This window comes from Homo sapiens, chromosome 5 (assembly GCF_000001405.40).
Source record: "Homo sapiens chromosome 5, GRCh38.p14 Primary Assembly".
NCBI lineage: Eukaryota > Metazoa > Chordata > Mammalia > Primates > Hominidae > Homo > Homo sapiens.
In genome coordinates this window covers 117,549,786-117,567,850 of record NC_000005.10, presented here as the reverse complement: position 1 = coordinate 117,567,850, position 18,065 = coordinate 117,549,786, and the positions used below count along the sequence as shown (strand labels likewise).

Below are 18,065 nucleotides of genomic sequence, written 5' to 3'. Positions count from 1 at the left end.
GTACTTGGAACCAGTTCCCCACATACACTGAAGGATGACTGTATAAAGAAAATATTTTCTGTAAAAGGAAAATGATGCTATGTATTAGCTTAAAATTGCAGGAAGAAATGAATAAGTATTCCTTCTTTTCTTGAGGCTTTAAGTAGGAACCATTTCCTTGCATTTTATAGTTTGTAAAGGCTGCTTGAATTCTTCAGTTTATGCTCCCACCCATCTTTCTTTTTTCTTTTTTTATTAATTTTAATTTTAAGTGCCAGGTACATGTGCAGGATGTGCAGGTTTGTTACATAGATGAACGTGTGCCAGGATGGTTTGCTGCACCTATCAACCCATCATCTAGGTATTAAGCTCAGCATGCATTAGCTATTTTTCCTAATGCTCTCTCCTGACCAACTCCATCACCCAACAGGCCCCAGTGTGTGTTGTTCCACTCCCTGTGTCCATGTGTTCTCCTTATTCAGCTCTTATTCAGCTCCCGCTTATAAGTGAAAACATGTGGTGTTTGGTTTTCTGTTCCTGCATGAGTTTGCTGAGGATAATGGCTTCCAATTCCATCCGTGTCCCTGTAAAGGACATGATCTCATTGCTTTTTATGGTTGCATAGTATTCCATGGTGTATATGTACCACATTTTCTTTATCCAGGCTATCATTGATGAGCATTTGTGTTGATTCCATGTGTTTGCAATTGTGAATAGCAATAGCTAATATTTAAAAATAATACATAATTTATTATCATCATACTAGAAACCTGTAAAAATGATCAGTGAACTTGAAGACATAGCAATGTTCAACTAAACAAAAAAATCACAGAGATAAATATAAAGGTTAAAAAATAAAAAGAGCTCTAGGATAGTCTGCTATAATATCAAGTAGTTTAATATTTAGCTTTTTGAATGCATAGATATATATTTTTAATTTAAAAATTTTAAAGTTATTCCTTCAAAGATAATCACATCATGTCATATCATGGTTAAGTAACTGAAAACCAGATAAGAAAATAAAAAGAAATCAAAAGGAAGGCAAGGAATACTTGCTACCTTCACAGAAATAAGTTAAGAATTACAATATATAGCTTGTCTGAAACTATGAATGCCATAAAGGCAATGACATGACTTTAAGGTGGCAAATAAGGAGCTAAATCTTCAAATCTAGAATTCAATGAAAAAATAAACACATTTTCAGACAACCTAATTAAATTTGTCATCAGCAGATCGATACAATAGATGTTTTAGAAATTTTTGAAGCAGAAGAAAATGATAACAAATAGAAACTCAGATCTATGCAAAGCACTGAACAAAAAACAAAAAAGTTTCTAAATATAAAATAATTTAATGCTCATGTTAAAATATCTTTAAAAGATTATGAACTAAAACAAATAGCACTACAAACAACAAAATAATGTACTGTGATGCTTATAATATTTGAAAAATTAAAATTTGTGGCTGTAACAGCACAAAAAGCACAAAAATTGGAGGGGGTAAGTGTAAATGTATTGTTGTAATTTCCCTCATTTTAAGCATGTTGATACAATATCTGGGGTTATAATGAGATAAATTTAAGATGTGTATCATAAGCACTAGAAAAGCACTTAAGAATAAAAGTGTATACTCAGTAATTTAATTGTGAATATAAATTGAATTATTTAAAATATCTTCGATCCAAGAAGATGGAGGTGAAAGTGAACAGCGTCAGATGGGAAGGGAGAAAACAGATGCTATAATGGTGGATTTCAACACCATTGAAAATTGCATTTAATGTAAATGCAATTTTAACACTAAACTAAACACTCCAACTAAAAAACGTACATTCGCAGACCACTCAAAAAATCAAGACTCAGGCCAGGTGAGGTGGCTCATGCCTGTAATCCCAGCACTTTGGGAGGCCCAGGCAGGCAGATCACCTAAGGTCAGGAGTTTTCAGGCCAGCCTGGCCAACGTGGTGAAACCCCGTCTCTACAAAAGTACAAAAATTAGCCGGACATGATGGCAGGTGCCTGTAATCCCAGCTACTGGGGAGGCTCAGGCAGAAGAATCACTTGAACCTGGGAGGCAGAGGTTACAGTGAGCCGAGATGGTGCCATTGCACTCCAGCTTGGGCTAGAGATCGAGACTCCGACAAATAAATAAATAAATAAATAAATAAATAAATAAATAAATAAATAAAATAGAATAGAATAAAATAAAAAATAGGCCAGTCACGGTGGCTCACGCCTATAATCCCAGCACTTTGGGAGGCCGAGGCAGGCAGATCACGAGGTCAGGAGATGGAGACCAGCCTGGCTAACAAGGTGAAACCCCGTCTCTACTAAAAATGCAAAAAATTAGCCGGGCGTGGTGGCGGGCGCCTGTAGTCCCAGCTACTCGGGAGGCTGAGGCAGGAGAATGGCGTGAACCCAGGAGGAGGAGCTTTCAGTGAGCCGAGATCGTGCCACCGCACTCCAGCCTGGGCAACAGAGCGAGACTCCATCTCAAATAATAATAATAATAATAAAATGAAATAAAAATAAAAAATAAAAAATCAAGACAATTGCATACTGTGTATAAGAAACTCACTTTAAATATAAAAAACAAGTAGGTTAAATAACAGAGTAATAGAGACATACTATAAAAACACTAACCGTAACTAGTACAGTCGCTGTATTTAAGAAAAAGTAGATTTTAGAAAAAAAGTGTTTAGAGAGATGAAGAGGGATATTATACAATTATTAAAGGGTCAGTTTTCCGTGAAAAATAATCATAAACAGATGTACAAACACTAAAATAGATTGAAATTACATGAAACAGGCCAGGCGCGGTGGCTCACGCCTTTAATCCCAGCACTTTGGGAGGCTGGGGCAGGCGGATCGCTTTAGGTTAGGAGTTCGAGACCAGCCTGGCCAACATGGTGACGCTCCATCTCTACTAAAAATACAAAAAGTTAGCTCGGCATGGTGGCGGGTGCCTGTAATCCCAGCTACTCGAGGGGCTGAGGCAGGAGAATCGCTTGAACCCGGGAGGCAGAGGTTGCAGTGAGCAGATATCATGCCATTGCACTCCAGCCTGGGCAACAGTAGCGAAACTCTGTCTCAAAAGCAAACAAACAAACAAACAAAAACAAAAAATGACAGAATTGTAAAGAAAATTTGACATATCTATAATTATAGTGGGAAACTTCAACATTTCACTCTCTCTAAGTGAGAGAACAATTCAGCAAATTTACTGAAAGTATAACAGAAGACCTGAACAACACAATCAACTGGTGTGAACTTAATTGACATTTATTCAAAACGTACAAACAGCAGAATACATGCTCTTTATAATAAACCATATTGTGAACCATGAAAATAAATTTCAACAGTTTTAAAAGGATCTAAATAATACCAATCTCTGACTATACTGGAATTAAAAATCAATAATAAAAGCATGGGAATAAAACAAATATTTAAATCTTAGATAACATATTTTGCATTAACATGAGATTATGAAAAATTACAGTATATATTAAAAAATTTTTGGAACTCAGTAACCATAAACAACCCAACATATCAAAATTGGTAATATGTCACTTAAGTAAGACTTAGAGGAAATTACATATTTTTAATGCATATGTTAGATTTAAAAAGTTCAACAGTCAAGAACCTAATCATGCACAATAAGATTCTAGGAAAAGAAGTGCTAACAAAATCGACTGTAAGCCAAAGGATAACTAAAATAATAGACCAGAGCAGAAATCCATAAAATATAAAGTACTCAAGCAATAGAGGAAATCAATAAAACAAAAGGCTCTTGTTTTGAAATCAGTGACATTAATGAAACTCAACCAGATTTATCAGGAAAGAAAGAGACATGAAGCAAGTCACCAATATCAGAATAATTGAGGGGACATAAGCATAGATCCTGAAAGGACAACTAGAAAATGTTAGAAATAATTTTATGCCAATAAATTTGAGGGAAAAAATTATTAAAACTAACTCAAGAATAGAAAATCTAAATATTCCTATATATCCCTATATACACACAGAGAGAAAAGTTATAAATTTCACAATTAAAAATCTCCCTAGAAAAAAATTATCTTACTCAATTGATTTCATGGTAAATTCTGTGACACAGTTAAAGAAATAATACCAACTCTACATAAACTTGGAAAATACTGGAAGAGGGACCACTTTCCAAATAATGTTATGAAGTCAGAATTACCCTGGTAGCAAAACCTGACAAAGAAATTACAAGATAAGAAACTACACCTTAATACAGTTAGTGAAAACAGATTTAAAAATACTTAACGAAATACTAATGAGGAGTATTCAGTAATATTTCAAATGATTAATGAACTGTGACCAACTGTGGCTCATCTCAAGGCTGCAAGGTTGTTTTAACATTGAAAATCATTACAATTTTTATAAAAGGAAAAATAAATTTCAGTAGACAAAAAATAAACTTTGACAAAATCAACACCTATTAATAATGAAACGGTTTTAAAAAACAGAAAACCAAACTTTTCAAGTAGATACATGATAGCTATGAAAAAAGCCAATATCATGTGCAAGCTCAGAAAACTGAATATATTCCCCCTAAGATCAGGCACAAGACAAGGACATCTGCTCTCACTACTCTTATTCAACATTGCACTTACCCAATGCAATTGGAAAAGAAGATAAATTAAATGCATATAAAATAGAGAATAGGAAGTAATACAACTCTTCATTAGTAGATGATATGATTGTGACTGTAGAAAATCCAAAGGAATCTAGAAAAAAAAAGTACTAAAAAGGAAGCAGAGCAAGGTCACAGGACAGAAAATTAATATAGAAAAAATTGTATTTCTATAACTGTCAACAAACAATTGAAATTGAATAATATGTACAATAACATAATAAAATCACAAAATACTTTGGAGAATTTAACAAAATATGTGCAAGGCCTGCTCCATGAAAAAAATCAAAACAAAGCAAAATAAAAAAACACTGGGAGAAATTAAAGAAGACCTAAAATCATGGCGTCATATGCCATGCTTATGATTTAGATGACTCAACAATTTTAAGATGTTATTTTTGCTCAGATTGATTAATACAATTAATGTAATCTCATTTACAATCTCAACAGGTTTTTTTTTCTCTTTAACAATTGATTAATTCTAAAATCTACATAGGCAAACAAGACTTGGAATTGTCAAAACAATTTTGAAACAGAAAAGCACTATTTGAAGATTTATACTGTCTGATTGACTTATGGAACTTAAGACTTATGGAACTACAGTAACCAAGATATTGGGCTATGGATGCAGGGAAAGGCCATATATATATATATATATATATCCTATTACATAATGTCTTTCTTAATACGCATATCTTAATGGGGCAGAATAGTCTAGAAATAAGGCTAGAAATTTTGGACTAAAGGAGTCAAGATAAGTGAACAAACAAATAATTGCCTTTTCAACTGAAAATGAAAAACCTGAACATATGCATTCTAAGTAATTCAGCAGTTCCAATCTTAGATATTATATATCTATCTCTCTACATAATGTATATAAAATAAATCTTGATTACTGTAGTTCCACAAGTCTTTCAATCAGATAGTATAAATTCTCCAACAGTGCTTTTCTTTTTCAAAATTGTTTTGACAATTCCAAGATTTTTGCTTGCCTATGTAGATTTTAGAATTAGTCAATTGTTAAAGGAAAAAAAAATTGTTGACATTGTGAGATTGCATATACATACATATATATATACACACACACACCAAATAAAAATGCACACGTTTAACCAAAATACATAAATAAAAATGTTCACAGAAAAATTTTTAATAGACAAAAACTAAAAATGCCAAAATGCCTATTTGTAAGAGAGGGTAAATTTGATATATTTGTTCACTGAAAAAAGTATGTCAATAAAAATGAACAAACCATATTTACAGGAAACAAAATGCACGAATCAAAAATATGATACTGGGTGAAAAACATTTATATACATTTCAAAACCAGTGAAGTAATCAAATGATAATAGAAGTCAGAATATGGTAAGCTTGCAGCGCAGGTAATAGATGGGAGGAAACACAATAGAGGTTTCTGGGGACTGTCAGCATTCTCTTTCTTTATGTGACTTGTTATTTCCTGAGTGTTTTAGCTTTGTGGAAGATTTGCTGATGTGTGCACTTATGAATGATGTAATTTTATATGCATATTATAATTTAAACAAAATGCTAAATAATTTGTATTTTTAGCGTCATCTTTCATTAGACTAATATGAGATTCTAAATAAGACTATTTCAAAAATAGTTATTTCTCTAGTCTTTTTTTAACTTTTATTTTAAGTTCAGAGCTACATGTAAAAGTTTGTTACACAGGTAAATGTGTGTCGGGGGTTGTAGAGATTATCACTATCCTTCTCACTTGACTGTTTTTACTTTCAAATTTTAGGCAAACATTTAATATCATCTTTTACTTTTCTTAATTCTCTTGTTCCTGAAACGGCAACTGAAACCATGTAGCTGTACTGGTAATGGACAATTTAGCATTACTTATTACTCCTGTGTTTTGACATTATATAAAATGTATTACAGAATATAAGGTAAGGCAAAGGTAAGTAAGGATTCTTCTTTTTAGATTTATTTCATCCTGAGATACATTTAGACAAGACAACAGTCTCTTATACCAAGAAGCCAACATACTTTGCATTCATGAGCATTTTAAGTAATGAAAGGACAAGAAAAGGATGTGATCAGATAACGTTACCAGTGTGACTTGCAAATTTGTGGATGATCTTGAATTTGAAACAAGAAATAGAGTAACAAAAGACAATGGAAAATTTAATCTGATGTGGAATATGTGGAATCAGTTAAATATGTGGTTATAAGGTGCAGATAGAGTTCACAATCATTACAAGTAGGCTTGGAAGTGCTGGAGTAACATCACATTCTGGTAGGTAAATATGAAAGCAGACTAAGAAATTGATAGGAAAATAAGTAGAAAAGAAAAAGTAAATAAATCATATACTGAGGTACTCAGGTCTCATCTATATTGAACAAATGGCCAAGATAGTATTGCGGGAAGAATGACTAGTCGGAAGAAAAATAAATCACTAAAGTAAAGATATAACCAAATTTACTCAGTTTTAAGAAGCAGTTTCACCTTCTCAGACATGGCTTTGAGATTTAAATTTACTATTTCAAAAAATAGAGAGATAATAAAATTTATGATGACCTTATTTACAACATTCATATATGAACTTGGTAAAAGGGTTAGATAATATCAATTCCCCAGTGAACTGAAGAAATGAGGCCAAATTTTCAAAGTTTGCAATCAACGCTGTGGAGAAACAATCAATAGCCCAGCTCCTACCTACCAAACTGTTACTTCTATTAACGTGATTCAGTTCACAGAAAGAAGTAAGAACAAGCACACTTCATTTAACAGGGAGCTTTGTTCACTTCTAAGCTGACAGCAAGTGTGCAACTCTGATAATATTTTTAATTCCCTTTTAATTTACAGCACTGATGTACAATCCCCTAGGCTCTTTCTCCCTCCAAAAAAGAACAAATAGGCTAGTTAAAGATTATCTTTTTTCCTAACAACTCATATTTTGGGCTTTGGTTTGCTAACGAGATGTATACCATGAAGAATTCTTACTAATCTTTAAGGAAGCCTGTGAAAGGTACCAGATATTATATTCTAGCTATGCTGTCATCTTTTAACAGCAAAAAAAATTTTTGAAAAGAATTTTATTGGAAAATTTTAGCACATATATTTTATAATTTTTAATGGCATGAATTTGCATATAATATGGGTATTTAGCATATAGACATCAAGATATTTGAAAATAATTGTTGGATTTATATAGCTATCCGTATCAATATAGATGTATATAATAGGTATTCATATTCTGACTTATAACTCTTCCTATGTAATTTTTACTTATATTTTTGGAGGCCATTTTTTGTCTGTTTTGGTCACACAAAAAGATTTTCTTCTGAAGTCTTTAAGTTTTCTTTCATGTGTTTGATATACACCTTTAAATAGCTATTATTCATATTTTTATCTGCCTTATGTGAATTTTTTATTAGGTTCACAGGAAGCTGCTTTACCTACAGAAAAGTAACTGTATGGAGGGCAATAAAAATCAACCCTTCAAAACTCAGATAAATGTTAACTTTCAAAGTAAATTCTGAGCCACAAAAGCTAGTTATGTTATGCTTTGTCAGTCAGTCATGTTATGTCAAAGATAGGAAAGAAAAGAATCTATGCCATGTGTGTGTGTGTGTGTGTGTGTATGTGTGTGTGTTGTGTGTGTAGGTAGATATGGATATCTATATCCATTAGGAATTTGTCCAGCAATATTACTAATCTGCATTTAATTCTAATAAATGAGTCTACTTTATTTCTGTTGCCAGATAAACTTCTTTGACTTCTAGGTCCTTTCAAACTGACCTTTGTTAGCTTACTCTTGTTCATTTAACAAAATGGTTATTGAGTAACTACTCATTAATCAGACAGTGCCTATTACCCAGAGGATTTTAAAGCAGTTATTAGTTGAATGGGTGAATGAATGAGTAGATGAATGAATGAAGAAAAAGCATTAGACTTTGGGATTACTATTGGAGGTAGAAAGGTTAATCAGCTAGAACTCTAACCTGCGGCGTCTGCAGTCCAGCAGGTTGTATGTGACTAAATGGATAAGCTCTAGCTAGAGAGCTCAGAAACTTCAGAGAAGGAGGAGCCCACTTATTGCTCTGGGGTGCAGAGAAGACTTCACAGAAGATATAAAACGTAAGATTAGCCTTGCTGCTGAGCAGATTTACTCTGTGTGGAGAGAAAGCAAATAGAATTTGGTGCAATGAGAACATGAGAAAAACCAGGGAACCAGAAATATTAGAAAAAGAAACTCCAAATAAATAATTCAATGTGGCCAGAACACAGATTGGCAATGGGAATCAAAGGTAAATTAATAAATGTTTATGGATAAATAAGGAGATGTCTTAATCCTCAAACCAAATGGGAGGAATTTTTTTTTTGTAGTCAATAGAGAATCACTACAATTTTAGGATAGGAGGTGGAAGGAAGGCGGTTGACACAATCAGCTTCCATTACTATGAGTTTATATTTTAAGTAAAAGGTATTTTAACTTCATAATATCTAGTTGTAAAAGATAAAAATTAATTTCAAAAAGACAGGTGACCAGAGCGAGACCCCGTCTCAAAAAAAAAGACAATTCTTAATTTTCTGTCATTCCAATCAAGAATCAAAGAGATAAAGAAACAGTTTTAAAAAAAAAGGTAAAGAAGTAAAGGTTAAATAATCAGAATTGTGATTTGACCATTGCCCCAATCAGTTCTGTGACAATAAATAAGTCATTCCATACCCCAATATGTGCTTTTGTAAAGGAGGAAATACTAATACTAATACTCATACATTCAGTTTCCAAAATCCTATTATAATTCTTAATTCATTGTCTAAAAACACATTTTTGCTTGACCCTGACATTTGCCAAAATTATTCAAATATACCTTTGTTTATAGTATTATAACGTTTTTAAAATGGAATATATTCTCAATAGTTTCATTTTTTGGCCAAAAAAAACCACACACTAAAGTTAACTAAAAAGGATATATATGTTTAATGGCCATTAGACTCTTTTCCTTGATTAGAAGTGAAAACTGAAAATATTTTGAAAATTGCCTTCTCATTTTGTTATTTTTCAGAAATTAGAAATGTTTTTAATTCCCTTGAATGCCTGGCTACCTTGTAATATTCAACATCAAATTTATCATGGCAAAGTGCAAAATGCTTTGAAATATGCTTGTAGACAAAGATGCCCAGGGGAATCCTTTAATTTTATGTATTGTAGCAGGCCCACATATCAGTTTATAGAACTGCTTCTTGGCTAAGAAGCCTCATGACCTGAATTGCCAGGGCAATTCACTACAAAACTCCATGACTCTACAGTTATCTTTCCTGCCAAATACCTACTTATAATCATCTTTATTTTTGAAGACTTTGGAAGAATTAAGAAGCCAGTGTTATTCGCTTCACATGCCATCTTCAGTAAGGAGCCATTGTCAGTGCTATTTGAATATTTGAATTTCAATACAAAACATTGTATATTACATTTTTATCTTAATTTCCCCTTAAAAGACAGTGGATGTCTTCTGCCAGCAGAACTCAGTAAAAGGAAGATACAGAGATAGACTGAGCAAATCCCTTAATCTCGCAAGTCCTCTGTTTCTTCAACTGTAAAATGGGCAGAACGAGCTAGACATGCTTCCAAGGTACATCCCATGGAGATCACTAATTCATTATAAATCTTTATACCTCACTTTGAAAATATAATATACCATAAAAATGCTAAATATTATTATTAAATATTCAGAATGAGGTTTTTCTCTAAATCTACTGTCATATGCTCAATTGAATGCTAATAATGTTAACTCTGTGGGATACAATTTCAATTATTCATGGGAGTAGCATATATAATGTGTCGTGGTGAATATGCTGGGCAATGTATTTTCACCTATCAATATGATGGTTTCTGACGAAAACTCCCTCTCCAGGTAATGTGAAATGAGATACTTTAGGCAGCTATTTCTTTTAACAACTCTTCATATGATATACAACTTTAGAGGAAAGTTTCTGCAATCTGTGTCAAACTCCTCGTCTTCAGGGAGGCCAATTCACCTACATCAAACCTTCGTATTCTCAAATGAGTGGGAAAGGCTGGAAGGCGAGAGGGCTTTGCAGAGAATGAAAAAGAAAGTGACATAAATCAAGAGAGAGAAGTCAAACATGTCCTAACAGGGTTGAACATAGAAACTTGTACCAAGGAAATGAAATACGCATGATATGGGCAATTTATTTTTACACAAAATAATCCTCAGTATTCTGAATGATTTGAAACTCTGAATTAAAAACTGGCATTAGGAAGATGCCATACTTTTTAGATAAAAGTGAAGGTGTTAACAGTAACCAAAATGAAACTACAAAATAGATAAATGATGAAAATAAATAAGTAAATTTGCTTATGAAGACATTACTTTATTTGAAAAATTGTTGTTTATGGAACTCTTCAGAATTCAGTGTTTTGAAGATAAGTATTGTTGCTTACATATGTAAACAACATTAATTATCCTAGAGGAAAGATTGTGGCAATTATTTTCCACTGGGCATAGAGGTCCATATTTGTAGAGTAATTCCAGATTTATATTGTGATTTACTTGGAAGTTCATGAGTAAGACAGTCAGCTGTATACATGGGTGAAGGATTCAAGAAGTCAAAGGCACTGGCTGCTATAAGGTTTTTCTCTAAGCCCTATGGAAACACATTGTTAACTGAACATCAAGTTTAACATGACTCCTTTGAGAAAAACTCACTGTTCTTTCACATACTGCTATCAAGGGCCACTTAAAAGATAGTGACTACCCAGATTGGTTCAGTCATTTTGCTTCTTAGAATTTTTGAAAAAGATTATATAAAACAAAATTTTAATAGCAACATTATTTATTGTGGTAAATTCTGGATATAGTGGTAAGTTTCCAATAACAGTAAAAGAGGATGTTAGGCAACTATAAAAGCAACAACTATGAACTATGAAGAAATATTGAAAGTAATAATTTTAAAATTTGAAGATAATGATTTATATATGTATATACATACGTTTCAAATCTATAATTGCATACATTCAAACATATGGAAAATTTAAAAAGTAAAACTAAATTCTGTTTAGGAATGTGTAAAAATGTGGATAAATTATAGATTCTGTGATGCTTTGGAGTTTTAATTCTGATGTTTCATGAAAAAAAATTAAGGTATTAAAGACCCACTTCACATATTAGTACACCAAGATAAATGCATTTTTATTAATCAAGGTGGATATGTTGGATTAGAGAGTAGAAAAGTTAATTGTATATTGCATACCTACTATGTGCCAGACACAAAAGTGATTTAAACGTATATCTCATTTAACTTTTCCAACAAGTTTAAAAGAAAATTGCTACTATTCTTACTTTCAGATAAGAAAGCTCATAGTAAAAGAGCCAAAACACCCTGTTTAATGTTACAGAGGTGTCAGAATAGATTCAAACTGAAGTCTATCTTACTTACATACTTTCCATAGGATCCATGTTTTTTTTCCTCCGGTTATGTGGAATGCCTGGAAATGTAATTTTAGATGGGATCTGCAGAAGGATTCTTGTTAGATGATCATTGAGGTGCAAGATGAGATATGGTGCCATCATACTGTGGAGGGAGAAATGATAGGGAAATGAATGATGCCAAAGGTTAATTTTTACTAACTCTCAATTATATTTGTTATCATGATTTCAAATTTTTAATCCATTGACATGGGATAAAATACTCAGCCATTATATAAAATCAAAGCATTTTCTGGAAACATGAGAATGAAGGGCCCCTTGCACCTGGGAATGCATGCTTCTGGTATATTAAACAGGTATTGCTTTCATCTTGCCATCAATCAAGACAAGGCTTAGGAGACCTATCAAATCAGAAGTTGGTGGAGATTCTTCTCTCTCCTCAAAGACACTTTGCTTTCCTCAAGGAAAGTGCTACTTTGCAGTAGCACTACAGACTAAGGTTGAAAATTGTTCTTTAATGGATGTTCTTTAATGGATGGATAAAAATTATTCTTTAATAAGAACCAATTAAAGCAATATCATCAATAAAAGCAGTATAGAAGTATACATATAGAGATAAGGATGGTCTTGAAAAGATATAAAGGCAGATACAATTAATAGCTAAAAGTAAAATAATGTTTTAAATTCCACAAATCAAGTTTTTAATTATATTTCTCTTTTGGAAGATAGCCATTTAAAACCTTGCAAATACCCTACACTTTAATTTTAATAATGAATATTTAAATACGTTCTCAATTTTGCTTCCCTGAACACAGAAATTTTTTTAAACGTGTGAAATTCGGATATTGCATGGTTATCTTAGGGTGTTAATGAAATAGGCAATACTAACTAACATGTTTTTCTAAATGGGGCAAAGGGATAATTAATGCATTAGTACTCTTCTCTCTCTTTACCTCCTGGGTGGATTTTAGCTAAGATGTATGCACATATAGATAATATGGCTTTGATGTAATTTTCAAAGAACACCACACAAACTATATACATTTTAGTTTAGCTTCCTAATACATTGTTTTTTAACTTCACCAACTCCCCTCACTATTTAACCCATAATCTGAATTCATGACCATTTGTATAAGTTTTTTCAGGAAAAGAATTATTTTGAGTAGTTTTAATCTGCTTTTGCTACCATTGGTTTACCTCAATTTATTCTGCTAATCATATCCTGAAATTTAAATGACTTTTATTTTATTTTATTTTATTTCGTTTTATTTTATTTATTTATTTATTGAGACAGAGCCTCACTCTGTAGCCCAGGCTGGAGTGCAGTGGCACGATCTCAGCTCACTACAACCTCTGCCTCCCAGGTTCAAGTGATTCTCCTGCCTCAGCCTCACAAATAGCTGGGGTTATAGGCGCCTGCCACTACACCCGGCTAATTTCTTGTATTTTTAGTAGAGATGGGGTTTCACCATGGTGGCCAGGCTGGTCTTGAACTCCTGACTTCAGGTGATCCACCCACCTTGGCATCCCAAAGTTCTGGGATTATGGGTGTGAGCCACTGTGCCCTGCCTGACTTGATTTCTGTTATGTAGAAAATGCTAGCCACTCTTATCAAATAAGTTATTTGATGCAAAGAAAATGAAGCTCAAAACTTAGGGAACATAGAACTTTAAAAAGGTAAGGAGAAACTAGTCTGTAATGAGAAGAAACTTGTTTATTGCAATAAAATTTTATCTTTTTTTTTCTTTTTTTTTAATTTTATTATTATTATACTTGAAGTTTTAGGGTACATGTGCACGACATGCAGGTTTGTTACATATGTATACATGTGCCATGCTGGTATGCTGCACCCATTAACTCGTCATTTAGCGTTAGGTATATCTCCTAATGCTATCCCTCCCCGCTCCCCCCACCCCACAACAGTCCCCGGTGTGTGATGTTCCCCTTCCTGTGTCCATGTGCAACATCAATAGACTGGATCAAGAAAATGTGGCACATATACACCATGGAATACTATGCAGCCATAAAAAATGATGAGTTCATGTCCTTTGTAGGGACATGGATGAAGCTGGAAACCATCATTCTCAGCAAACTATCACAAGGACAAAAAACCAAACACCGCATGTTCTCACTCATAGGTGGGAATTGAACAATGAAATTTTATCTTTTTAAAAAAAGAGATATTAGTGACACTGAATTCTTTCAAAAACCTTTTCTTTGCAAATTTCAAATGATTGATGAGTTGATAATTTTCACATCCACTAGAATTCATCATATTAAGTTAATGCATTTTAGTTAGAAGAATTTAAATTTCTGTGCTTAATACAGTTATTCCTGATATTTATAAAATTAGTCTTTAGTTGACATTTTTATAAATAATTTTTTCTTTGTGCTTTTGGAGTGTGTATACAATACATCTACTGCTTTTTCAAAAAAGAATTGTATTATTGAGGATTCAGAAAATGTTAGTAGGCCAGCATTACTTCTCAGAAAGAACATTAGAGCAGTTGCACTTAGCTGAGTACAGAGTTTAGCCTATCATATATATGTTAGACTATCATATATGTATCATATATATGACAAGCTAACATATATGATATATAACCTATGATATCTCTATATTATATAGAGATATGTGTGTATATGTATATATGCATGTATATGTGTATATATACACATATATATATGTGTGCGTGTGTGTGTGTGTGTGTATATATGTATATCAGGATGCTAGCCTGCTTTTTTTTGGGAGAGCTCTCCTTCAGCCTGAGCCAGTAATGCAGCAGGAGAGACTAAGGAAGTGGTATCCTCAGTAAAACGAACAACTCTTTTATTTTCTATTCTTAAGAGAGTTGGAAATCTAAGTTATGTTTCAGTTCTTTCTCACTCTATCTTTCTGTTTTCTGGAGGACGGTTGTGTTAGGACTAGGGAGACAATATAACTTACCTTTTAATACACCAAGGCAACTGGCATAAACCAGGAGAGTTCCAGAAAAACAGGGATCTGTGATTGTAATATCACAGATTGTAATATCAATGACTGACTTAAGATGAAATCCAACTACATCTTATCATAAGACAGACTACTTTTATTCACAAATATTCTCTCTTCTGGCTGTGTTTCTGGCATTTTCCAATTTGTAAGATTAGCTGACTTTATGTTTACTTCAGGACAGCCAGCCAATATGGCCCATAGATTTATAAGTATTAGCTTGGAGCTCACAGGTGTCTTGTTTGGTAATAATAAGAAATATTTATGACCTTTTCTGTCAAATGTGGCAAGTTATTACCTGTAAATTGCCAGATGCATTGTTTAAAGATTCCAGATGGATCAATGCTCAACTGCTGTTAGTATAATTTTGTGGTATGGGCTGTCCTATCATTCCTGAAAAATATTCTCTTCCAGGTGGCAATTTCTTTTCTTATTCCCAAATTACAGAAACATTTGAAGCAAGCCAACGAGTGGCTTATTGTAACAGTACCATTGCAGTACTAAAGGACTAATGTGAAGAAAATGCCTCACATGCCTTTTCCATTGGACCCATATTTTGCTGTACATAGTGAATTAGCTAGGTGAAAAGGTGGGGTTAAAAACTGCATTCTATTAATTTTTGTCACCATGGGGCACTGCAAAATTGAATGCTGCCATTGAACATTATTGCTTTAGGCTGGTTCCTTCTCATTCTTTGTGTCTCAGCACAAGTAGCAGAGATAGCCTCCCTGAGCACACTCTCTAATGTGGCCTCTGTCATGTAATCTCTGAAAATACGCATCACCATTTAATTTCATGTATTTAGTTTAATTGCATGTCATTTCATAAAGCAACTTAGGCCACACTAAAGGCAAAGGGAGAGGTTGGAAGTAGGGTCTGGGAACCTGTTTGTTGAGATTGTGAAATATAGTAGAAGATCAATAGCATGTGTAACATGAATAACTAAATGAGTGAATGACTTAATCAATGTGAGGTTTTTCAGAAAGTCAAGGACTTGCTTACTTGAGACATTTCAGTTTTCATTGTGATAGGCTTGCCATGATAACTTTATATATTATTTTTCTATTTGATTCTATCCTTCCCCTTTTATTACATATATATATCTTATATGTTATTTTATTACATATCTATTGTATATACATAATTTTATTACATACATGTATATATATCTTATATATTAAGATTCCGAAATGTGGAAACTTTCAAAGCTGTAATCAGAATCATCTCTCAAATATTTGGTGACCAGAGAAGCCAAACATCCAAACTGTAGCCACTCCCATGGTCCACATGGAAGAGAGCCTGCTACTACTACTAAGCCAGCCTCCCGGCCACAGCTGACTGCACAGTTGTAACAAGTAGCCCATAACAAAATTCATGCACAGGTTTGCCAGTGGCCTTCATGGTGGCAGAATGCCAAAGCTCTGCTGAAATAAGGAAGATGGTGATTAAATGGAAAATCAGGTAGGGAAAATGGATGAGGGGGTTTAAATAGGAAAGTAAAGAGGACCAGTTGATTGGTACTGACAGAAGCAGAGGAAAAGCAATGAAATTCTGCTGCTGAGGGGATGATAAAATAATGTATTCAGCAGAACTTTCAAGGAACCTGGGAACCTATCATGAGGCATGGTTGTCCTGCAGCTCCTGTTCTTGCTGGGAGGCCCAGATATTTATATTTCACCAGGTTTCTCTGAGACCTGACACATGTGCTCTGGATGTATCCATACAATACATTTTCTATTGTTGAAATAACCTGAATGAGCCTCTGCTTCTCATAAACAGAAGAGTGTTGTGTAATCCTAAATAATATAAAATCTCTCCCCAAGTTATATTTGACCTAAAAATTATTTCTGCAGCTTACATATGAAAAATGGCCATCAGACATTATGGGAAATTGGTATATTTTAAACAAAGTTTTGATGTCTTATCATAAGGATGGCTGGAAAGTTACCACTCCATCCTGATTTCATCTTGGAGAAGGAAGAACGCTAATGTCACTTTTTTGGATTCACCCAATGAACTAGTATAGCAGTTCCCACTGCTCTCTTTTCTTCTGCTGCTGCTGCTTTCTTCTCTGTCTTCCCCTCATCTTCTTCCTCCTCTTTCTCTTCTTCTTCCTCTTCTTGTTCTTCCTACTGTTTTATGATCTCCTCTTCCTCCACTTTCTCCTCCTCCTCTCCCTCTTTGTTCCTCCCTTTCTGATTCTACCCTATCAGAATTCTGATACTATTTGCCTAGCCAATAGTAAAAATGTTACTGTGTTATGAATCTCAGGCTACTATTCGTAGCAAGAATTAACCTAGAAGATAATGATGTAAACAAAAAGTTGCATGCAAGATTCCTTGAAGGACATTTCATACTCAGAAAATAGATTGTCTATAATGCGTGTATGTGTTTCATGTATGCCCTTGTACATATTGCCAATAACTAATTCTGAATATTAATTTTAAATGTGGTGAAATAAATTTATTGCCATCTACTTTTTTACTAGATGCCATTTACTTTTTTACCTTTGGTCTTTGATAATAGGTTTGAAACAGCTTAATGCAATAAACTTGCTTGCAAAAAGAATCATCTTATATCTAATTTATAGACATATATAAGAAATTACTCTGTAAAGAGGACTACTTCAAAGTCATCAGGTAGCTGCTGCATTTTATCACCATTATATTAACATTATCATGACAAGGTTGAAAACTCAGCACGGGCAAGATTTGCAAGTTACTGTGCAAGTGTGACTCTTAATTATAGGTAACAATTCATTTTGAGGTACATTAGTATGCTTCAAAATAGAATCTAAAACCTTATTTCTATGTAATTATAATTAAATAATTATAAGGAATCATTTTAAAATTTTATAGAAAAAAGAATCTCTTAAGGGTTTTATCTTCAGGTTAATTAAAAATGGTTTATTTTATTTCTTGGTTAATTACTGAAATTTAGAATCCATAAATAGACATACTGAAGGAAATACTTTTGTTGTCTACGAAGTTCTAAATCAGTGGTGAATTCATGA

The 18,065-nt window shown here is 33.3% G+C and overlaps 1 long non-coding RNA gene across 1 annotated transcript in view; it reads right to left on the bottom strand.

The window, feature by feature from the left end:
* The window catches only part of LINC00992 (long intergenic non-protein coding RNA 992), a 164,233-nt gene that overhangs the window by 11,894 nt on the left and 134,274 nt on the right, over positions 1 to 18,065 (bottom strand). The window contains exon 5 of the long non-coding RNA NR_046089.1: positions 12,071 to 12,205. This is a non-coding gene — a long non-coding RNA (long intergenic non-protein coding RNA 992). The remainder of the gene's footprint in view (positions 1 to 12,070; positions 12,206 to 18,065) is intronic.